The following is a 24,364-nucleotide window of genomic DNA, read 5'->3' on the forward strand; positions in this document are numbered from 1 at the left end:
CATAATTCTCCTTCCTGAACAATATTGAGAGATCACCACCTTGGTTTCTGCCTATTTAGCCCTTATCTCCTGGGAAAAGAGCACACAGATCTTAGCATAACAGGCTTCATAGTCACTGTGTGTCTATTTCACTCCCAAGAGATAAGATAATCATCATTAATTATATGGTGAATAGTTGGGGGTGATTGTTGGCTTCAAGCCCATACAGAAAAGCCGTACCTCTTCCACTCAGGTTCTCACATTCTGGAAAGGAGAGGCAGCTGATGAAGCGAGGTGGCTAAGACCACAGACTTTGAAGCCAAGCTGCCCCTGTTCCAAGTCTGTTTGAGCTTGGGCAAGTTTCTGCACCTCTCTATGCCTCAGTTTGCTCATCTGTAAATTGGGAATGATTAGAATAGTCCCTACATATCTCAGAGGGTGATTGTGAGGATTAAATGAGCTATTGTTGAGTGTCTGGGTCCAACCAATGCCCCAGTAGTGTTTGCTGAATAAACACTAAGTAGGCCCACCCACTGCACGCCTCCAAGGCAAGGCTCAGGAATCAGACTCAGGAAACCCAATGCCATTGATCTTGTGGCCCATGCTAATCCAGTGACCTGAAAACAGCTAATTTTAATTCGTAGAGAACTCACTCTATGTCAGACACTCTTCCAAATGTTTTGTGGGTATATGTGTACATTTACCAAGTTAATCCTCACAATAATCCTAGAAGATATGTAAGCACTACTTTACCACTCCCATTTTATAGAAGGAAAAACTGAAACATGGAGAGGTTGCATAGCTGGTTGTGGGCATCAGATTTTAGTGCTACAGCTGGGCAGAAAGCAGAGCTGCAGGGGTCTCGAATCCCAGCTCTGTTAGCTCTGAGCAGCTGTGTGATGTAGGATTAGGCATTAACCTCTCTGTTTCTCATTAATTTTGAAATGGGGAAAACAGCACCTAGCCCACAAGGCCTGAGATAATGTGGGTGGCATGCCCAGCATGGTTTCTGGCATATGATGGGGCTCAGGAAATGGGAAAAGTTATAAAAAGGAAAAAGGGGGACTGAGCAGATGTCCTAACCCCAGGACAGCCCCACAGAAGCCGGGACCTGGGACCGTCTTTCAACTGCACTGAAGGTAATTGGAGTGGGGGCCCTCTCTCTTCCCACCCCCACTCAGAGCCCCACAGAATGGTCCTAGGAGTAAGGATGGAGGATGCAGACCTGGGAATCCGCCCACCCTGGCTTCCACTTCGGCTCCTCTACTTAACAAGCTACAGGTCCTTGGGCAATCACTCCCATCCGTAGCCTCACTTTTCCCATCTGTGCAAGGGGGCAGCAACCACCACTTCACAGGTGTGGTGAGGAGCAGATGAGACCATTTAGCTCACATTTATAAAGCCCTTGCCAAGTGTCAGCCACTCTTCTCTAAATGTCACACGCATCTAATCTTCCTAACATCCCTGCGGAATAGGTACTGTCATTGTCCCCTTTTACAGAAGGAGAAACTAAGGCTCACTGAGGTCAAGGGAGCGGGGTGAGGTCACGTAGGGGTAAATAAGCACCATCAGCCCAGGTAGGGCCACAGAACCCATGGCCCATGCATGACCAGAGTCAATTGCTCCTAGAGGTCCCTCCCCAGCTCCCTGGATTTGAAAGCAGGAAAACATGGGCTGTGTCCTGATTCATGCTCCAAGCTGAGATGTCCCTGGCAATTTGTAATGGGTCCCTAACTAAGTGTGGGGCTCCAGAGCACTCCAGAGTGGCCGATGGCATTCCCTGCCTCTTCTTACATTGCGGTCATCCCAGGCTGCTGGCAACACGTAGGGAGGAGCAGCCAGGCCTTCCTGCCTCCTGCCTCAGCTTTCTTCCCAGCATGGAGGTGAACATGATTTCCCCATGGCCAAGTCCTTTTCCCCAGAGCGCCTTCTTTCTGTTGTTCCAGTTTTGTGTCTCTCCTCGAGCTAAGAACAAATCGCTGTCTCGGCTCTGCTTGCAGGCGGAAGCGGAAACACGCTGCTGCAGGAAACTCTTTTGCCCCCAAGTGGCCCCTTGTTCACATTCCTGTGGCTCCAGAGGAGGACTGGCCTGGCCTGAAGTCATCTATCATGGCTGGTCAGGCTGGAGGGGCTGTTGGAATCAGCTTGTCCCACCTTCTCCTTTTCACAGACCCAGAAATGGAGGTGCAGACAGGGACAGGGCTCTGCTCAAATACACAGGAGCTCAAAGGAGGGGCAGGACAGCTACCATGGAAGAGCCTTATGACATGCAAAGAGTTTGGCTTCCATCCAATACTCAGTCCAGTCCCACAAGGTAGGTGTTATGGTTCCATTTTATAGATGAGGAAACAGCCACAGAGAGGTTAAGTTGCTAACTTAAGGTCACATAGAAAACTATGGTCAGGGGCTTTAAGCTAAGGTCTGTCTTGACTACTAAGTCAATGTTATTTTCTTACTCTCACACCATTAGTAACTATATATTGAGGTTGGGGGCCCAGGCAGGGCCTACCCACCAAAATGGCTGGATTCCTCTCACCACTGCCATCACCCAGAAAAGCTGGCAGGTAGGAGCCAGGATTTTCTTTTTTTCTTTTTTTTTTTTTTTTTTTCAGACAGAGTCTCATTCTGTCGCCCAGGCTGGAGTGCAGTAGCGTGATCTTGGCTCACTGCAACCTCCAACTCCAGGGTTCAAGTGATTCTTCTGCCTCAGCCTCCCAAGTAGTTGAGATTACAGGTGCATGCCACCACACCCAGCTAATTTTTTTGTTTTTAGTAAAGACAAGGTTTCACCATGTTGGCAAGGCTGGTCTTGAACTCCTGACCTCAGGTGATCCACCCGCCTAGGCCTCCCAAAGTGCTGGGATTACAGGAGTGAGCCTTGTGCCCAGCCAGGATTTTCTTTTTAACCTGTCAATCTGGGTTTTCTCTCCCAGCCTCCACCCCTCACCTTGTCTTTTTCCAGAAGAGTCTGCGACCATTTCAAGCTGGCAGTGATGCTGAGAGAAAGGCACCCTCCATTAAGCCCAGACCCCTTCCTCATTTTCTCCCTCTCCCCACTTGCTGTTTCTAATGGGTGCCACACTGGTCCCTCTATCCCCTTGCTGTGTCTCTGAGCCAGATGCTGCACCTGTTCCCACGTGTCAGAACCCTGCCTATTTGCAGGTAGATACAGGTTCAAATTCTTCCACATTCTCTATTGGCTGTGTGACCTTGAGCAAGTTACCCATGCTTACTCCTTTGCAAATGGAGTGATAATACCAGCTTTGGAGGGCTATTTGGAGGATTGGATGAGCTCTTGTAGGTCAAACAGTCTAGTGCCTGCACTGCAGTAGGCCCCAGGGATGGAAACTGCGGTGTGATGGTGATTTGGGTGGCATGGGTGGAACAGGGGTTGATTGCTAATAAGACAGAGGGGAGCATGGGGCCAGAGCAGTGCAGAATCAGGAAGCTGTGACTTAAATGCTAGGGAGAGGCTCCTGTGGTGACCAGGACCACGTCTAAGTGATACCAAACAGCAGGACATTCCAGCCAGCAGTAGGAGTCCCAGAGGAAGTGGCCAGGTGCCGCTCCGGGTGTATGGGGCCCATGGCAGGTAGGCAGTGGGCACCATGCCGGGCCTGGCCATCAAGCTGAAGTTCGAGGAAAAGACTCAGAACAGCCCTCTGAGGAGCATATCTGTATCCTTACTTTACAGATGAAGAAAGCAAGGCACAGACAGGGTAAGTAACTTTCCCAAGATCACCCAGAGAGTCGGTAACCAAGCCAGGATTAGAACCTATGCAGCCTGGCTCCAAATTCTGACCTGTTAACCAAATATTCTCTATGCCAGCTCACCATGGGTTTGAACTGAAATGCTGCCACATCATCATTTGCCCTGCCTTGGACCCCAGCAGAGCCAGAATGTGGACAGATTCCCAAGGGAGGCAGGAAAGCTAGGCCAAGTGCCAAGCCAGGCTTGCTTCATCCCAGGCAGACGAATTCTTCCTCCCTCTTCCCCTGACCCAACGCTACCAGAAAAAAAGTCTGGGCCCCAAAGACAATTTTTAACAGTTAAAAATTAAATGAGAGGAAACCATTTAATGAGAGCTGGAGGAGGCCGTGTTCCCTTGAACTTGCGGAGGTGGGGCTGGCTGCTGGCCCCAACTGCCCCCGTGCTCAAGCTCCCTTATGAAAAAATAGACTGTGCTGTGGCGGGCCTTGGGTGGTCTCTAAAGAGATTTGGGGCCAAATCAGCACCATCAGCCAAGAATATGCGGCAGGAGGTCCCAGAGCCCTGCCCAGGACAGTGACTCTGGACACAGTGACCTTCACTGGCTGGTGGGAGCAGCCCTGCCATAGAAGGGAAAAGGAGGGGGCACAGGAACCAAAAGGCCTCTCAGACCCCAGAGACTTCTTGGGGGCTGGCCGGATGCCTTCTCCTCCCACTCTTTGCACAACAGACCACAGCCTTCCTCTCACCCCCTGCTGGTCTTGGTAATTCTGCTCACTCTGCCATCCTCACAAGAGACCTTGAGGCTTCCCATGCCTCCTCCTAGGGTAGCTTCTAAGCCTCTTCCTCTTTGAATTACTCATTAAGCCCCCAGCTCCAGGCTCCCTTCTCAAGAGGAACAACCCTGCTGCCTCCAAAGTGAGCCTGAGGACCCATGGTGAGACAATCTCATGGGGGTGGCTTCCTCACTACCATGTGGCATCACGCAGGCCGCTTACCCCCTCTCCAGCCCTGCACACATTGTCTGATTCACATTCTGCAGGATAGGAATGATGTCCCCTGCAGTTGTGCAAGGCAGTGGTCCTGCCTCCTGAGAGCTAGAGGCCTGAATTGTCCAAAAGAGCATGGGAAGAATGGAAAGGTCAACAGGGGCAGGAAGGATGGCTCCAGGTGCCACCAGACACACTTAGGCAGCCCTTGGATGAAGGCCTTTCATTCTCTTGGGCTGGAGCAGGGCAGGGGGTGACCACCTTCCCCTCTTCCCTCCACCAGGCATTGGCGTCCATGGGTTCTAGGCTTTGCCAAGGGAACCAAGCAGCCCTGCTTCCTGGTAACCCTTTCCCCGTCTGCTGGCATGGCTGCTTGGCTGGATCGAGCCCCTCAGGTGGCAAGCATGAATCCCTCAGAGGCAGCCCCAGGGATGCCTGGGGAGGACTTTGCTTCAGAGCTGGGCCCCATCTCGACTTCAGCCCTTACAGGCCTTGTGGCCTAAGGCAAGGTGATTGGACCTCTGGCTCCAGTTTGTCTATCTGTAAATGGGGGTCACAGCTGCTATGGAAAACAGTATGGAGGTTCTTCAAAATGTTAAAAATAGAACTACCATATGATCCCGCAATCCCATGTCTGGGTATATATCCAGAAGAATTGAAACCAGGATCTCTAAGAGATACCTGTACCCCATGTTCACAGCAGCACTATTCACAGTAGACAAGACTGAAACAGCCTCAATGCCTTATGACAGATGAATGGATAAAGATAATGTGCTGGGGCCGGGCGCGGTGGCTTATGCCTGTAATCCTAGCACTTTTGGAGGCTGAGACGGGTGGATCACTTGAGGTCAGGAGTTCAAGACAAGCCTGGCCAACATGGTGAAACCCTGTCTCTACTAAAAATACAAAAATTAGCCAGACATGGTGGCAGGCACCTGTAATCCCAGCTACTCAGGAGGCTGAGGCAGGAGAATTGCTTGAACCCAGGAGGTGGAGGTTGCAGTGAGCTGATATCACGCCACTGCACTCCAGCCTGGTCAACAGGGTGACACTCTGTCTCAAAAAAAAAAAAAAAAAAAAAAAAAAAAGATAACGTGACATGTATACACAACAGAATATTATTCAGCCTTAAAAAAGAAGGGAATCCTGCCATATGCAACAGCATGGATGAGCCCGAGGAACATTATGTTCAGTGAAATCAGCCAGTCCCAGAAGGACAACTACAGCAGTTCCATTTGTGTGAAGGATACAGAAGTCAGACGCATAGAGGAGGTGTAGAATGATGGCTGCCAGAAGCTGGGAGAGGGGAAAATGGAGGGTTACTCAATGTATAACTTGAGTGTCAGTGATGCAAGATGAACCATTCCTAAAGATCTGTGCTCTAGTGCCTGGAGTTAACAGTGCCATAGTGTGTACTTAAAAACCTGTTCAGAGGGTAGACCTCATGTTAAGTATTCTCACCACAAAAACAAATCAAAAGCAGGGGGCACAAGGAAACTTCTAGACATGATGGATACGTGTGTTACCTTGATCGTGGTGATTTCTGGCATGTCTGCCTATGTCTAAACTCATCAAATTGTGTACATTAACTGTGCTGTTTAGTGGTATATCAATTATCCCTCAATAAAGCTGTAAAAAACAAAAAGAGGTGGGGAAGTTGGGACTGGCTAAAAATTGCTGAGAGGAAAGAGTTCGGTGCTGGCAGGAGGAACAAAAGCTGCATTTAACGGGCACCTTCTTAGCGCCACCCCTTGTAAGCGCCGCATGTGCATGATCTCATTTCTCATTTCATTGTCACACACACCTGTAGTGGGGGAATAATTTTCTCCACTCCACACATACCTCTGACTCTTGCCTCTCACTGATCAAGGCTGATGGGCTCTCACTCTTCCCAGGCACTACGCTGGCCAATGTGGAGAGAGACAGTTGAACTAACGCGGCTTCCACCCCTCCACCCAACCCGTGCCGGCCACCAACGGTCTCCCTCTGTGGCCCAGCCTAACACTCTGGGAACAGGAAGGCATGGCCAGTGGGGTCTGTTGCCCCCAGGGAAGCAAGCCTCTGCGCAGGGGAGGGAGAGGACGATCCATGTCCTTGGCCTCTCCACCCACTTTTGTGCCTCACCCCCCAGCCCATCCCTTCAAAGGAAGCTCTGTCTGCCCCGTCTGTGTTCCTTTTGGCCCCTTTCTCCCCTCTCCCTTGGAGGATTTATGGTTTTAATAATGCTGTCTTTCTCCACCAGCCTCACTTACTGTTTAGTCCCCTCTAAAGATCCTTAAAATTAAAACACTAATCAGGAATTTATTTTCTCATCAATTCTGCCCTTCAGGTTATGAGGCCCAGGTGTTTTCATAGCCTGCTGGTGGGCCATGGGGAGGGCCCTGCAGAGGAGAGATGATGGGCGCTGGGAATGGAGGGTTCTGGCTCCAGTCTCTTGAGAGAGAAGGGAGAGGAGATGGGGAGAGACTACAAGAGACAGAGACAGTCAGGCCTGAGGTCAGGGAGAAACAGCAACAAGCGGAGACAGTGTAAACAGTAACCAAGGGAAACAGAGAGAGCACAGCCTGCTGTTCGGGGGAGGAGAGAGAGACAGAAGGAGGGCTGGGGACAGAGACCAAGGCAGAGAGACACACAGATGGCAGGAGGTGCAGCCAACAGGGATAGAAACCAGAGAGATGCAGAGATGGAGTGGAGGAAAGGGGCAGGGAGTGGAAGAGAGAGAACAGAGAAATGGCAAGCAGAAGAGCCTGGGAAGATGGGGCAAGAGAGGCAGCAGAGAGCCAACAAGCCAAGTGCACACACTGGGGTAAGGAGAAACTCGCCCCTCTCCTCGGAGGGGCTGTACTCCTGCAAGTTGACATCTTTAGTGGGGATTGTGCAGCACATCTGCCAGACCACAAGCTCCATGAGTGCAAGGTCTCTAGGTTTTTCCCCTTTTGTGTCTGCAGCAATCAACGGGGCAGGCTGATTTCTGGCCCTGGGCTCCTTTTAGCTCTGAGATTCTACAAGGTACCTAGTGAAGCCCCTGGGAGGCCTTCTCTTTCCCCTCCCTCTAAGCCACGAAAAAGCTTGTTGGATCCTAGGCCTGCCTCCCCTGCCACCCCCTACCTTCTTTCAATACAGGCAGCTCTGAGAAGGCATCATCTCTTTCCACCAGCCTCCTGCCTACCCAGAGGGGTTGTTTGCAAAGTGCATTTCTCTTGACCCAACATTTCTGTTCCCTACATGGGAAACATTTGAGATCCATTAGGTCACTCTGAGCACTGAATGAGGAGTCTAGGCTGTGTGATCACGGGCAGGTCACTGGCCCTCCATCCCCTTCATGTGTAGAATGAGGGGCTGGGTTTCTCTCTGACAGGCCCTTCTGGCCCTGATCATCTAACCGTCTTTGACTTGACCATTTCAGAAGACCCAAACTAAATAGAGGAATGGAAAAATCTATCCTCGTTCATTTATTCCCTTGACAAAAGGTCTTAAAGAACTGCTAACATGGAAGACGCTAGGCCAGGCACTGAAGTCACCCTAAGGAGCCTGACCTGACCTTAGGTCATTATAAAGTCACAACCTCCATTTGCTCCTCTGTAAAATAGGAGGGTGTGGTGTTGAGGGCGTTTTGGTTCAGGAAAGGGCTTTGTAAACAGAAGTCAGGTATCAGAAGGGGTGGTCTAATATCAGAAGTGTGGAGAAACCTCATTAGAATAACTCATGCTGACACCTCCGAGGTCTCCCAGGACCTATATGGGCTTTCACTCTGGCTCAGGTTCTGCTGGTGCCAGGTCAGGCCTTAATCTCATGAATATTCCCATCCTGGAAGGCCTGAAAAACATCTGAGTTTGAGTCTCAGCTCCGGCACTTGCAAGGTCAATAGCCTTGGGTAAGTCACTTCCCCTCTGGTGGCTTCAGTGTCTTTCATAGGAAGATAAATAATCCTGTCTCAGCTGAAGGGAGACGTAAGGCTTAAACTGAGGTCAAAATACCAGGCACACAGTAGGTGTCTGAAAAAATGCTTGCTTGAGGCATGATTTAAGCCAAAAGAACAGCGGTAGGTAAGAGTACCAGTGTGTCATGTTACCCAAACAAGGATGTCCTGGGATTGTGGCACAGCCAACAACAGAGAGGCAGGGAGGTCCAGCCTCCCTGCTCAATATGGCCTTTGCTGGGCCAGCATTAGCATTTTGCAAGATGATTCAGCATCTTGCAAAACCAGGGGGCTTAGCCGGCCCCCACTTCGTGCTGAGAGGCTTGTTCCTGCCACAGCCCAGCTTGTCTACCTGATAGGTAATCAATGCATTTATGATCCAAGACCACTTGCACAACAGGAGGAGGGAAGAATTGCCCTTCCCAGGTCTGAATAGCAGCAGGCCCAGCCTGATTTAACTCACTGGGCACCTTTCTAACCTCAAATCTTTTCTCTCTTCAAGTCAGAGTATCTAAGAGCTATAGAACCCAGGATCATAATCAAAGGACTTTTCATACCCCTATCCCAAGGGATAGATGAGTCGTCCTGTGGGGTCCCTCTCATTGGGAATCAGTACCTGTCAAATTACATAAACTGGAAAGGAATTTGGCTGTATCCTCAAGAGGTTTGGAATCCTGAAATAATAGAGTCATGGTCTCTAACTTAGACTCGTATGAGAGAATATATGGCTTATGGGAAAAGGTAGATTTTGTTGAGAGGGACAAAATAATTGCACTATAATTATGTTTCATTTATGCTGTAACCACAGATCTAGAGTTGCACATGATGCTGCTGGTGGTATACTCCAGGATTCAGAGGCAAATTTAATACTGTGGAAGCTAATAGAATTTATTATGATGCTGATACTTACGATCAAATGTATTGGGAGAGCAAATCAATACCCCTTTTGAATGTTCTACCTGTGAAGGAGAATTGGCCTGAAGAAGATTTAGATTTGATTCATAATAGATTGATTATGGTTCTATCACTCAACAAATGTATACAATTAAGTGCAGAGAGCTATAGATCAAGGTAGCAAAAGAATTGTGCAGTTAGTACAAAAATATGAGAAAGTTTGTGCTGGTATTATTGGATGGTTCAGCTGTCTGTTTAAATCAGGACCAAGCTATTATAAAATGCGTGGAATCTGTGTGAGCATCTTAATTACAGATGGTCCCTGACTAAGGATGGTTCAACTTATGATTTTTTGACTCTGTGATGGTGTGAAAGCAATATGCATGCAGTGAAAACTGTACTTCAAATTTTGAAGTTTGATCTTTTGCCAGGGTGGAGATATGCAGTATGATACTCTCTGCCAATGCTGGGCAGCAGCGGTGAGCCTTTCTGTTTTTCACTTTCACTACAGTATTCAATAAACTCCATGAGATATTCAACACTTTATTATGCAATAGGTTTTGTGTAAGATGACATTATTCAACTATAGGCTACTGCAAGTGTTCTGAGCATGTTTAACGTAGGCTAGGCTAAGCTATGACATTTGGGAGGTTAGGTGTATTAAATGCGCTTTCAACATAAATGCATTTTCAACTTAGGGAGGGTTTATCGGGATGCAGCTCTGTCGTCAGTTGAGGAGTATCTGTACTGTTCAAGTAAGCATGATGGTTTTGTTATAAAAAGGCCTTGCCCATGGGACATGGGATGTGGATGATGCCTTGAGCTGCCTTGCTAACATGGCACAGACACGTAAGCATTTCCCTACTCAGCACTGACCCCTGGTCAGGTCAAGAAACATACTGGATCATAGTGTTGCTCTGTAATCAGGGGTCGGAGAAGTTTTGGGGCAGCTTGGACCAGCTTGTCAGCATTGTTTTTGGATAACAGTGAGATTGATGGTTTGCACTTGGTCTTGGTGAGACCCTTGAAAGGCATTGTTTAAGCTGGTTATGTAGCAGGTATCTTCCTACGTGACCAGCAAAATATGAATATGCTGAAGCTGAGAGTCTACCCTAGTTCCGAGGTGTTCCATTTGATGACAGGAGCTTGTACCTGTCTTCTCCAGCCTCCTGGCTGCAAGGTGTATCCTTACCCCAACACTGCTGCTACCTGTATCCTTTTCCTGTAATCAACTCTAGATGTGTAAGCATTGTCATTTTGGGTCCAGTGAATTTTCTTTAGTGATTGAGTCTATCTCAACCACTACTATTAAAGTTAAGCATCTATCTTCCATGTTTTATAGGTGAGCAATGAAAACCCAGAGAGGTTTTCATTGACTTATCCACAGCCACAAGCATGTTAGTGGTAGAGCCCAGACTGAAACCAAAGGCTCAATTTTCAGCCCAGAGCTATGATTCTGTTTCTTCCTCCTTACCTTGTTGTTTGGAGGTGAGTGGACACTTCCCAGGATGCCTAGAAGAACCAGGAAAGAGCATCGACCACTAGGTAGGCATCAGAGTAACCGGAGAATTAACCCAAGATGAGGTGAGTTTGGAAACCAGAAAAGAGATGGTAAAACCCAAGACTCAGTGAGAACAGATTGGGAAAGAGGCTCAGGACTGCATCTGTGAATGGTGAGTGTATCATTCAGGGTAGGATAAGTGCTGTAACAAACAACCCCCAAACCTCAGGCACTGAATACAAGGAAAGTCTTTCTTGTTCATATCATAAGTCCAAGGCAGGTCAGTGGGAGAGGGCAGTGCTGCTCCACGCAGTCACTCAGGGGACCCAGGCTCCTTCCATCTCATGGTTCTGCTCCCCTCTGGGTCCCTTTAGGCCTGCTTCATCCAGAGAAAATGTGGGGCAAGAGAGAACACTGATGTTCCAGCAGGCCAACCCAGGGAGCACCTCTGTTATGAACACCCTTGGTCTACATGTGAGTGTTAAGGGGTCAGGGAAGAGGAGGCTGACTTCCTTTCTTGCTGTTGGGTGGTGGAGAAGGGGCCTGAGCCAGTTCACAGCTTTGTGCTTCTATGTCCCCAGGAGCTCTTCAGACATCTTGACTCCAGCACATAAGCTTTGACATGAGCTGTCTCAAATCCCAAACATGCATTCAACCCAGGGTGTCCAGGCCCCTCTGGGCTCCTCCAGTGTCTGAACCCCACATCCCAAGCTCATCTAATTATACCCTTGGAGGAGCGCTTCACTGGTCTTGCAGATCACTTGTCATCCATCATAGCCTCGGGACAAATCACAGTCGGATATGAATTATGAGTTGTTCTTCCCCAGGATGGGCTGTTCTCCTACTTCAAAACACGTGTATTAATGGAAAAGACCCTGTTGGAAGTTGATTCCAGTAGCTTAAAAGCAGCAAGAAATGGACATTTGTATATAACTCAAGAGAGAACCTTTGCTGGAATTTTCCACCAGGGCTGGCAGTGGGACTCAGTGGGGCAGAGAGTAAAGGCTCAGAGTCAGCCTGGGAAGAGTTCCTGGATGAGACATCTCAGAACACAGTATCTCTGGTATGGGAGGAACACAAGCCTTGGGGCGAGACATCTCTGGCTTCTACTTCATGTGACAATGCTGTGTGACATTGGGCAAGTCAACCCACCTCTCATCTGTAAAATGGGTCTAATCACAGTACCTTTCTCAGGAATGTTGTGAGCTTTCGTCACATAACGCACTAAGGCACCATGCCTGGCACCCATGAGGCATCAGTAACTGGTCCCTCCCCTGCCCTCCCTCCCCTGCCCTTGAACCCTTTGTGATAAGGGGAGCCCAGAGCCCTTAAATCATTAAAAGGAGTCCTGCAGGAACGTGCTACTCTTCTGGGAGCTGAGGTTGTTATGTGTCTATACAAGAGTGTGAGATGAAGCTTCCACACCTTGTTCTGGAGATCTGAGGCCAGGAAGTGGGCAAGGTTTGGAAGCTTGATTTTGCAATGAGCTCCTCCATTTCTTAACTATTTTTTCACCCAGCCTGGGAAAGCTTGGGCTTGTAAAATGCACTTATTAGTCGAAATGATCTAAATCTAATCTAATTCTCCCAAGGAAACGATGTAATGATGTTCCTCACTAAAGACCTGATGCTCAACATTTTATAAAATGACCACAAACATCTTTGTTAATCACCTTTAAACGGCATACCTGTGCTTTGGGCAGCAGCAAGCTTTCAGAAGTGCTTCTAAATCAATTGAACAGGGCGACGTTAGTAAGCACTCACATAAAATACTGTTTAATATGAAACAGAGTACAAAAAGGTCCTCATCAAAGTTCTTGTTAATTTTCGCCTCATTTTCTCTGCAGTGACTAATAACACCTAACATTTATTGCGTGCTCACCATGTGCCAGGCACTGCTCCAAGCTCTTTACAGACATCATGTCATTAAGCCCAGCCCAACCACACAATGAAGACTGGGGCCCAGAGAGGTAAAGGGTCCTTCCTATAGTCACACAGGTAGGAAGTGACAGAGCCAGGCTTTGAACTCAGATGATAACAGTATAGAATATATCAGAAGGGTCATCTTTCAGAAAGACTTCTCTGGCCAGATTTGGCAGATGACTTGAGGGGATATTTGGGGACAAGGGCTCCCTAGCTGGTTGGCTTTGAAAAATATCATTCAATTATATTTGCTTAATGCCTTTCTGTTCATTTCTACATTTGATCAGCCCCATCCTAGGCACCAAGGGCATTTGAGAGCTTATCCCTTTCCCGTAGGGGAGATAGATGAATGATCCATTCCAAACCAGGAGAAAATCACAGTAGAAATACACCCCATGTTTGACATGGTATGGGGAGGAAATGATTGGTCTCGGGAAGTCTGAGAAAAAAAGTGATTTCTGGGAAGGATTTTGGAAAATCTAAGAGGAATTTTCCAGGCAAAGAGAAAAATGCATCCTAGCCAGAGGTATTCATGGAGGCACAAGAACTAGGTGGAATGAGTGTAGACCCACAAGAGGTTTGGTGTGGCTGAAGCACAAAGCGTGAATTGTCAGGGGTGGAGAAGGGGTGTACCAAGAAGTTGTCCTGAAACCCGCAGAGTTTTGCAGACCATTCAAAGACATTGGGACTCTGTCTCCCAGGGGAGGAATACTGTATCAGTCAGGACTCTTATAGTTACCAATAACAGAAATCCAATTCAAATGGTCTTGGTCTTGAAAAGTTTTGACTCATGTAACTAAAACCATCAATGTGAACTGCATTCAGGCGTGGCTGGCTCCAGGTGTTCAAATGATATCATCCGAAGTCTATCTCCCTTTATCCCTTAACTATGGTTCCTCTGGCTTAATCCTCAGGCAGTCTCTTTCAAGTGGTGACAAAGATGAGCTCCAGCAGCTCTAGGGTTACATCCAACCAACTGGGCAATCCCAGAGAAAGAAAGTGCATTGTTCTTGGTAGTTCCAACTAAAGCCCTGGGGCAGATGTCACTTAGATCTAACTGCCTACCTAAGTGGCTTATACTGCCACTGAGGAACAAACTCCAGATGTCCAGAGACCCTGGGGTCCTGGTCTACCCCTGACACAACTGAGTGGCCTTGGGTGAGTTCTTCTACTCTGTGGGTCTCGCTCTCCTCTTCTGGGGACAGGTAGACTTGAGGATCTCTAAGGCTCTTTCTGGGTCTAACCTTCCAGTCTGCCTGGAGCCTGCCAGCTCCAACTGCTGTCTGTGGGGCATGATGGTGTCTGCATAAGCATCTGAAAACCCACAGCTGTCCCCAGGGAAGGTGGTGGGCTTACCTGGCACCCTCCACACCTCCTTGCTCTTTCTCTTTGTGACCCAGTAACACAGGATGATGGGAAGGTGGTGGGCTTACCTGACACCCTCCACACCTCCTTGCTCTTTCTCTTTGTGACCCAGTAACACAGGATGATTGGAGGGTGCCTTGACTGGTTTGGGGAGGGGAAGCAGGTATAGCCACTCCTTCCCCAAGGCCCTCAGAGAATGGGCTTTAAGACCAACAGCACCATGTGTCAGCCCACTATGCTACCAGCTGCCAGCTTGGGGGTGTGCAGGTGAGACAGCCTGCCCCAATGCAGGGCAATTTAATAATCACAGGAAGATGGTTTCACCAGGAAGTATGACTGTTTAATCCTTAAATTGAATTTTATGTGATTTTTTTCTCTCCTTGAATTCCCATGGTACTTAATTCTAGTGCTAATCTCCAACCCTGACTCTAATTTATGATCTGGGTCACAGTTGCATTTTATCAGACAGCGGAAAGGCTGCTCACACATGACTTCATGGTTGTGGGCAGCCATTCTCTGCCCCAACAGGCATGTCCTTACTGGAGGCGGCTCTGTCCCTGGCTCACTAGGCCTCCTCTCTTCCCTGACTCTAATCTTTCTTGTTCTCCATTCCACCTCTGGTCAGGACAACGTCTGATGCTCATTTGTATTATCTGGCCCTTCCCAGTGCCCTTTACCTCCAGGGGGTACTGTCCTCATTTGTCACCCTTGTTCTCAGGGCAGGGAGCAGAGAGAGGCTCTCAGTTGGAGAACAACTGCTAACGAAGGGCCTCCCCCAGATGCCGCATTTGGAGAGTAAAGAAAGATATCTATCCCTCACGGTCCTCCCCGTCTCCTCTCGTACACACCTTGTGCTAGGGACAAGATGCTTGCCCATTGTCAAGGGCAGTCTGGCACCATCAAGACCTTTCTTGTGCCAAGAACTAGGCACTCTCTTGTTTTTCCTTTCTTCCCTCCCTCTCCTCCCTTCCTTCCTTCCTCCCTCCTTCCTTCCTCCCCTCCTCTCTCTTCCTTCCTTCCTCCCTTCCTCTTTCCTCTCTTCCTCTCTTCCTTCATTCCTTCCTTTCTCTGGCTCTCTTTTTCTACCCCACTTCCTTGTATTTACCCAAATATTTACTGAGCGTCTACTTTGTGCTGGTCCTTGTGTCAGGTGCTGGGGATCCCACAAGCAAGACTAGCAAGGCCTCTGCCCTCCTACAGCTGGAACGCAGGAGAGATGGGCAACAAACTTGTGAACCAGCCCTCACCTCCATGAAGGTGCCAATGGGGGACTTGTTACCCCTGAAATAGTGACATTTGAGCCATGACCTGAAGGACAGAAAGGCTCAAGAGCAGAGGGAGGGATTCTAGGCAGAGGAGTGGCCGGTGCAGGAGCTCTAAGCCAGGACAGGACTTGGCTTGTGTGAGGAGTAGAGGGAAGTCAGTGCAGCTCAGGCAGAGTGGGCAAGGGGGAAGGTGACCTGAGCAGAAGTCAGAGTAGTGGGCAGGAGACAGAGAAGAAGGAGGTCAGAGTTCACAACAAGTCAGATGACATCTATGCTGCCCTCCTTGTCCTTTCTCCTTTCTCCCAAGTGTCATCATCTGAGACCCTACGAAGTGCCCCCACCCTGGCACTTTGGGAAACTGGAAACCACGTTGGGGCTAAGGCTGGATTTCTCTCTGGAAAGCCCAGGTGAGGGCTCCACACCTAGCCTGGTGAGCAGAGAAACATTCTGCCCTTGAGCTTCCTCTCTAGAAGGACAGGGCAGAGTTCCAGAGTGGGCTGTGGGAGGCCTTACACACAGACAGAGGGAACAGCGCATGTGAAGGCCTCGAGGCGTGGGGCCTGTAAGGAGAAACTCCAGTCACTCATTCTGCTCTGGGGTGGTGCCACCAAGAAAAGCTGCTTTCTGGGTCTTTCCATTAGATGACGGCGGCAGCAGAGGGAGGAGGAGTGAGAGAAAGGTGGGGAGAAAGGGGGAAGTATTGGCAGGGTGGCTGGAGCTAGAGGTCGGGCAATGAGCCCAAGCTACTGAGAACCAAGGAGGAAACTGCCCCAGAAGCTGCCACCTGGCCCTGACCCTAAGAATACACTTGGGGCTCATTGGACCAGGGTGAAGAAGGCTGGATCACTCCTGCTCTGAGCCTCTCACCCATAGCATCACTGGTTGGTCCTGGGACTGCAGATCCAAGCTGGGTCCTGCCATGGCTGCATACAGGCTGAGTGACCTTGGACATGCCACTGGACCATGCCGTGCCTCAGTTTCTCCATATGAACACATAGGGGCATCTCTCTACTTCAGGGGACTATTGAATCCATGAGCAAATTCAGGCAAAGGGCTTAGCAAATGCTACTACCATTAGGCTGGCAGGTGAATAAGGTAACTACGGCCCCTCAGGCAAGAACGCAAAGCAATATGTGCCTGGATGGGCGGGATGAACAGAGTGGTGTAGGAGACCAGTAGCCCCTAGCTAACCTGAAGACCCCAGAGTGGGAGTTGGGAGTTAAGGGAGGCTTCTTGGAGGAAGTAATGTGGAGTAGGCCTTGAAGGCTGAGCAGAATTTCATTTGCAGAAGGTAGCAGTATGGGCCAGCCAGAGGAACAGGCACAGCTTTGTGTTTGGGGAAGAGCAAATGGTCCCACAGAATGGACAAGACAGGCTGGCAGGCAGGGTAGGACAGAGGGACAGGATGAGGTGGGATAGGTAGGTGGGGACCACATAGCGCCAGCCCAGAGTGTCATCCTAAGGAGGCTGACTTTATGCTTAGACTAGGAATAATGTTCTTTCCTCTCAAAGCTGGGAAGTGAGTGACATAATGAGATCAGATGTAAATTTGCAAGGCTCTCTTTGGCAAATGACTTGGGGGTGGGAATGAAGCTGCCGGGAGGAGGCTGGGGCTGCGGGAAGGAGGCTGGGGCTGCCTTGGGACCACAAAGAAGGGAAACCCGGAAACCCCAGTGTTCAGGCCTTGGTGAGGAGCAGATGCTTCCCTGAGAGTTGACATCCTGGTGCTAGTCCCTTATGTGCAGTTAACTTTCTGGGTGACCTTGGGCAAGTCACTTTCCCTCTCTGGGTCTCCACGCACCCTCATCTGTATAATGAGCACACTGGACTAAGTCCATGCTGCCAGTTCCTGCAGCAGCATGGGGCTCTCAAATTCAGATGGCCCCCAGGGAACCAGCAGGAAATGTAACTAAGAAAAGAGAGGCATTGGGAAAGGTGGGAGGTGTGGGTCCCTGGAGAAAACTCCAAAGAGGGGGCTATTGCCGTGGAGCAGGGTAGGATGAGTATTAGAGTTGCTGACAATTCTTCAAATATTTTTAAAGAGAAGCTGAAAAGTCAATTTTTTTCCTTAAGACATATCTGACTTTTAAACATTAGCTCAATTCTTTAAAAGAAAAAAGTCACCACTTGGGTCATCCCAGACTCATCTACTGGCCGGGGGCTACTCACAGCCTACCAGTTTGAGACCCTGTGTTGTAACGTTTCTGGAAAGGTGAGACAGCAGATAAAGAGGAGGGGGCTCTTGCAGGGGAGTCGTGGGCACCCAAGATTAAGGACAGGCTGGTGCCTCCTTGCAGCAACCGTCTCTGCCTGCTCTCAGCCCACAGTCTCTTCTGAGCTCACTCAGGAACCGGGAGTCTGTTTTCATTAGAAGCAGAACACTGAACCGGCCCTGAAGGCATGTAAACCAGCTCCCCTGTCCAGGAGGCTTTTAGATATACCTTGTAAACTTGCCTTTCAGACCTGACAAGAGGCAGCCTTGTCAGGAGAGAGGATGGCGAGCAGAAGGCTTCGGTCCTGCCTTTATCAATCAGGTGCCAGCGGCGGGAGGAAGTGGAGGGAAAGAGGAAGATTCCAGGAGGCAGGATTCAGCAGCCCCGAGGTGGTGTCAAGGGCAGAGACCTGAGATCGTAGTCACTTTTCTGGCCACTGCTGGCTGTGTCACTCTGAGTAAGTCACTTAACCCTCTGAACCTCTGCTGCTTCCATCGAAATGCAAGGATAATAAAACCACCTCGCATGGCTGGTTACACAATCACCTAGGGCTGGGTACTACCATTATTTCCACTCTATACAGGAGGGGGCTGGATTCCGGAACTTGCTCAGGGTCAATACAGTCAGTAAAGGCAGAGGTGAGACTTCAACCCAGGCACTCTGGCTCCAGGGCCCACACCTTCAACCAATACACTGAGAGGCTAGAGGAGAAATGAGAAGGAGCTTTGGACCAGGAACCACGGCTGCCTAGGAACCTGCTGGGTGGCCTTGAACAGCCCTTTCCGCTCTCTAGGCTTCAAAATGGAGGTGGCTGTTCAACCTCTGGAATCCTCCAGCTCTGAGGATCTTACTCAACACATACTCATTTATCACTTTCTCTGCATTAAGGCCTTGGAGAGAGAGACAGCAGAAAACAAGACAGACAGACAGACGAGGTCCCTGAGCTCTTGGAGTTTACATTCTGGGTCTCGATGCAGGGGTGAGGAGACAAGTGCAAAGATGAAGGATGCTTCCCAGGCAGTGATGTGTTTTGAAGCAAACAAAGCAGGGTGGTATCGGAGTGATGGGAGGTGGGCATGGCAGAGCAGGCAACTTTAGATTGGGGGGTCATAGGAAGCGTGTTCGGAAGGGGGCAGTTAAACCCCTATGTGGATGGTGAGGATGACTCAGCCTCTTACAGACTGGAATCAAGGGAATCATTCCAGACAGGGGAACAGCAGGGGCAAGCTCAGTGTTTTCAAGGACGGGAGAGAAGCTGATGCAATGTTAGGAGTCTGTGAACCCTTCCTGTCCTCCCCTGCCCCCTGCTCTGGAGGCCAAGGGGCAGGCAGCCCAAGGAAGAGAGAGATGGTGCCAGCCTTGAGTTCTCCCATAAACTTGGAGGACTGGCCCTTTAATAATCCCAGGTGGGCACTCAGCGCAATTGCAGTTTGAAGATCCCAGCTTGCTTAGCACAAGTGGAAAATTACCTTAGCATCTATTCTGTATTGCCTTTTGATCCCGATTTCATCATTCAGATGTACAGCAGTGCGTTTTCAATGGGTACAATTTAATTAGGCTCAATTTGTATAACTAAATTATTAAAGACTCATTTAGAAAGAGTTTCAAGTCCAAGGTTCACTGGGCTCCACCGTTTGCTTGAAAACACCATTTGGAATAGAGCCGCTGATGACTCTGGATTCTGGAGTGTTCCCCTCCTCCACCTCCAGCAGCCTGGGCCTGGCTTGTCATTTAATTTCCATCTCATTTAATAGGATGTCTTTTGCATATCTCTGGGTCCTGGAGCCTCTGACAGGTGTCTCCTGTAATTACATAGAGGTTCCTTTTATACTCCTTTAGTCAGTCATCAAACATTCATGGGAGGCTTGGCATGGTGGCTCAAGCCTGTAATCCCAGCACTTTGGGAGGCCAAGGTGGGTGGATCCCTGGAGGTCAGGAGTTTGAGACCAGCTTGGCCAACATGGTGAAACCCTGTCTGTAATAAAAATACACAAATTAGCTGGGTGTGGTGGCATGTGCCTGTAACCTCAGCTACTTGGGAGGCTGAGGCAGGAGAATCACTTGATCCTGGGAGGCAGAGGTCACAGTGAGCCAAGATCGTGCCACTGCACTCTAGCCTGGATGACAGACTGAGAATCTGTCTCAAAAAAAAGAAAAAAAATTCACGGGAGCAGTAGGATAGTAAGGTCCTGTGCCAGGAGCTTGGGATGGGAATTAAAAGGTAGCCAAGATGCAGGCCCTGAAGGCACACACCTTATATCCTAGAAGGGAGTGGAGAGGGAGCAAATTCAGGATCCCATTTTCATCCTCATTAAATCCTGTGAGGTGGACAAGGAATGGCCCTCAGCCCCATTAGCAGATGAGGACTGCAAGGGTTTGAACTCAGAATTCTGGGCTAGCTCTGCTTCATCGCGATCTTTCTTCCTTTGTGGATGGGATGCGAGCATACTTGCCAAGGCAGAAGTCGAGGCCAGAAAGGATTGGGTGGGGCCGGGGTCCTGAGAAAAACAGCTGGGAATAGACTGCTTGCAGATATCAGACCTGGAGGCCCAAATCCTCCGAATGATGAACTGGGGGTAGGGGATGTATTAGTCAGGGTTCTCCAGAGAAACTGAATGAAGAGCCAACACACATATACACACATTTGGAGAGAGAGAGAAAATTTTATTATAAGGAATCAGCTCACACAATTATGGAGGCTGAGAAGTCCCAAGATTCGCCGCAGTCAGCAAGCTGAAGACCTAATAGAGCCGATGGTGTAGTTCAAAGCCAGTAGGCTGAAGACCAAAGAAGAGCTGATGTTTCTGTTCAAGTCCAAAGGCAAGAAAAGACAGATGTCCCCATTCAAGGCCATCAGGCAGCAGGAGTTCCCTCTTATTCAGCCCTTTTGTTCTACTCAGGTCTTCAATTGATTGGATGAGGCCCATTCGCATTGGGGAGGACAATCTTCTCTATTCAGTCTACCCATTCAAATATTAATCTCCTCCTGAACCACCCTCGCAGACGTATCCAGAATAATGTCTGACCAAATGCCTGGGCACCCTGTGGTCCAGTCAAGTTGACACATAAAATTAACCATCACGAGGAGAGAAAGAGAGAGGCAGAGGGAGAGGAAGAGAAAGAGAAAGAGAAAGGCATTGCTAGCTATAGACCAAATGGTGGCTGGGGAGAGAAGGAAGCTCACGTTTCATTTCATTTCAGAGCCACACCATGAAATATGGGTCAGTATCCCCATTTTAGAGTTGGGGAAACTGAGGCTAAGTGATTTACCCAGGGGGGACCCACAGCTGGTGACCCCATGCCATCTTGTCCCTGGGTAAGATTTGCATCGGTGGAGAAAGGGTGAGGATGCTGCCCACGGGCCTATCCCCTAGGTTCTAACTCTTATTTTTGGTAGTATCTTATGTACTTCCAGGGCAGATCAGAATCTGACCGAATGGCTGCTAGCCTGCCTGGTACTGCAGGTGTTGAGGGAAGGTGACATTGCTGTCAGCACCACGCATAATGGAGTCTTCAAGGCCTCCCATAGTCCTCTGCTTCAAAGCTGCTGAGAGCCTTGGAGTAAGGTGCAGGACACCAGCTCTGCCTCTGAGTCCCTGTGTGGACTTGAATAACATCCCTTCCCTTCTCTGGACTCAAGTTCCTCATCATTAGAGCAGGAAGGGAGGACCAGAAGATGCCTAAGATCCAGCAGAACCTTTGGAGAGGCTCCATGACTCCAAGCTGGGTCTGTTGTTTGCCAGGGCTCCCTTTAGCCTCTGGGATCCCCAAGTCTATCAGGGCTGCTCTGACAAGGCCTCCAACCAGAAGGTTCCACTCGCCTCTCTGAAGGAAATGGACATTGGAGTCCCTGGGCCACACCAGGGCCACAGCAGAGCCATGGACAAGGAGGTATTGGCTCAGATGCTGGTGAGGAGGTGACTCACCCATGCCCTGCTCCGCTTCGCATGCCACCATCAGCCTGGGGGATGTGCCTGGTCATGGCAGCACCCATTCAAACATAAAGGCTTCTCCTCTCTTGCCTCCCACCTGAAGAACATTCCCCAGTGACCCACATCCAAGTCAGTGCCTTCAGTGCTGAGGGTTGAGGGAGAGAAGTCAGATATATCACTTGTGATCCAAGAAAGAAATTGGGAGAAGTTTGGAACTGGTAGGCCTGATGGAACCAGAGAAAGAGCTAGAAGACAGGGAATGGCCCCCAGGATCAATCCCAGTCCAGTTCCTCATTCTCTGTGTGACCTTGAACAAGTCACTGTCCTCAGATTTTTCATCTATAAAGTAGGAGGCCGGGCACGGTGGCTCATGCCTGTAATCCCAGCACTTTGGGAGGCCGAGGTGGGTGGATCACGAGGTCAGGAGATCGAGACCATCCTGGCTAACATGGTGAAACCCTGTCTCTGCTAAAAATACAAAAAATTAGCCGGGCGCAGTGGTGGGTGCCTGTAGTCCCAGCTACTTGGGAGGCTGAGGCAGGAGAATGGTGTGAACCTGGGAGGCAGAGCTTGCAGTGAGCTGAGATCACGCCACTGCACTCCAGCCTAGGCGAAAGAGCGAGACTCGTCTCAAAAAAAAAAAAAAGTAGGAAAGACAGTAGGTCAAGACAATCTTTGAGATCTCCCCAGGTTTGCCTTCCTGCCACTGGGCCTCTGCACAGTCCTTTCAGCCTGGAACCCTCACCTCCCCATCTCACATCTCATCTGGCCAGTTCCTGCTCACATTTCCAGTCTCAATGTAAATGTCACCTCCATCAGGAAGCTTTCTCAAAATCCCCAGACTAGATTAGGTTCTCTTATAAAATCTTCCCTCTGCTCCCTAATTTCTCTTCCCTTGCCCTTGTCTTGAGTGAAGGTAGGACGGCACATGTCAGGGTATTTGTTTCATCTCCACTTCTAACTGTAAACTCAGCGGGAGCAGGAGCCACCTCTGATCTCTTCACCTCTGAGTCCCCAGTGCCTAGCATACGGAAAAGACTGGGTGCACAAATACTTGAATGGTATGGGACATTGGAGATAAAAAAGAAAAGAATAAATGATGCAGAAACCACCCATGTTCTCTGAGTGTTATAAGTGCCTGGCCATTGTGCAGACTGCATCACAAAAACATTCAATCCCGATACTGAGAAAAGGGGAGAAACAGTGGGGTTGTTGCCCAGAACATCAAGGCACACACCCTTCCTGCCTCCCTCCCACCTGGCTCCCGATGCAGGGGGAGCTGGGGAAGGGCTCACACTGAGGAGGGCTCCTGTCCTCCTGATCTCCACTGTTCCCTCCCCCATACCATGCCATCCCTCGTGGTTGCTCTGGAAACCATCGTGGCATCATTGATGGGGGATGGGAATTTCAGGTGGGCTTTCAGCCCTGGGAATTGGCTTGCAGAGGTAAAAGCCTCTGCGTCATTCCTGTGTAAATACTCTTAGTGTAGAGAGTGGAAGATAAGACAATTAGTCCACACTGTCAGGAAATCCACATAAGCAGCTTCACTCCTGAAGAGGGCCTCTTTTTCCTGAGATCTCCCCTGGCTGTGGCACATCTCACACACTGTGGGAAGCTGTCAGCTCTGTGGAGCAACTGGAAGAATTAAAAATAAAAATCGACTTTCAGAGAACAAAATCAGACCTGACAACTCAAGTCATTCAAACCAGGCATGGTTAGCGGATTGCAAATGTGTTTGTCAAAAGCAGGTGGCAGGGATGGTGGAGGGGACATTGTCTCAGAAAGGAGATTTGGGAAAGCATTCCACTTGGCCAGGTCTTCCTCTGGGCCTGAGGTCTGACCTTGCCTCCTTTAGAGATGAGGTTTCCAGCCGCAGCCCCACCCCACCCTGTCTATTGCATCTCTCTTTCAACTTTTATGCTGCTCTGGGATCATGCCCAGTAAATTGCAGATGCCCCATTAAATAGAGTTGATCCTCATTACAGTAGGTTGAATATTCCTTATCCAAAATGCTTGGGACCAGACGTGTCTCGGATTTCAAATTTTTTAAGATTTGGGAGTATTTGCATTACATTTACTGTTTGAGCATCCCAAATCCAAAAATCTGAAATCGGAAATGCTCCAATCAGCATTTCCTTCAAGCATCATGTTGGCACTCAAAAACTTTCCAATTTTGGAGCATTTTGGATTTCAGATATTTGGATTAGGGATACTCAACCTGTATTAGCAATTCCACATTTATGAATTCATCTGCTCACTAAAACTTATTTGTAACCCCCACATCAATACTCAGGTCATTCACAAACGTGCAAAAAATTTGAGTCATTCCATGCACACTTTATCAGCTGAGGTTCCACAAGGCGCTCTGTCTTCTTGCTTCTGCCTCATACTGCAAACAATTATCCTTCCATGGTCCACTTAGTGCCATGGTTTTTCACATTTTTGTGCATTTTGTTGATTTTGCTGCTTAAAATGACCCCCAAGCACAGTGAAGTGCCGACCAGTATCCCCAAGCATAAGAAGAGGCGCCCTATGGAGAAAAATAACATGTGTTGGGTAAGTTTCATTCAGACATGAATTATAATACAGTGCTGTTGGCTGTGAGTTCAATGTTAGTAAATCAACGATATATGTCAAGTATGTTGTTTTTAAACAGAAACACCCATAAAACAAGGT

At 49.1% G+C, this 24,364-nt stretch overlaps 1 long non-coding RNA gene across 2 annotated transcripts in view, besides 2 other annotated features; it reads right to left on the bottom strand.

Moving 5' to 3' along the window:
• Positions 1,328 to 1,862: an enhancer, noted in NCBI's record as "H3K27ac-H3K4me1 hESC enhancer chr11:45489326-45489860 (GRCh37/hg19 assembly coordinates)". NCBI's record gives its function as "activates a minimal SCP1, AML or CMV promoter by ChIP-STARR-seq in primed H9 embryonic stem cells {active_cell/tissue: H9 hESC(primed)}" and the evidence as "EXISTENCE:reporter gene assay evidence [ECO:0000049][PMID:30033119]".
• Positions 1,863 to 2,397: an enhancer, noted in NCBI's record as "H3K27ac-H3K4me1 hESC enhancer chr11:45489861-45490395 (GRCh37/hg19 assembly coordinates)". NCBI's record gives its function as "activates a minimal SCP1, AML or CMV promoter by ChIP-STARR-seq in primed H9 embryonic stem cells {active_cell/tissue: H9 hESC(primed)}" and the evidence as "EXISTENCE:reporter gene assay evidence [ECO:0000049][PMID:30033119]".
• Positions 20,400 to 24,364, bottom strand: part of LOC105376654 (uncharacterized) — a 55,627-nt gene continuing 51,662 nt past the window's right edge. For both annotated transcript variants that reach the window (XR_931245.4, XR_001748204.3), the window contains exon 5: positions 20,400 to 23,323. This is a non-coding gene — a long non-coding RNA (uncharacterized LOC105376654). The remainder of the gene's footprint in view (positions 23,324 to 24,364) is intronic.

Source organism: Homo sapiens, chromosome 11 (genome assembly GCF_000001405.40).
Source record: "Homo sapiens chromosome 11, GRCh38.p14 Primary Assembly".
In the NCBI taxonomy this organism is placed as follows: domain Eukaryota; kingdom Metazoa; phylum Chordata; class Mammalia; order Primates; family Hominidae; genus Homo; species Homo sapiens.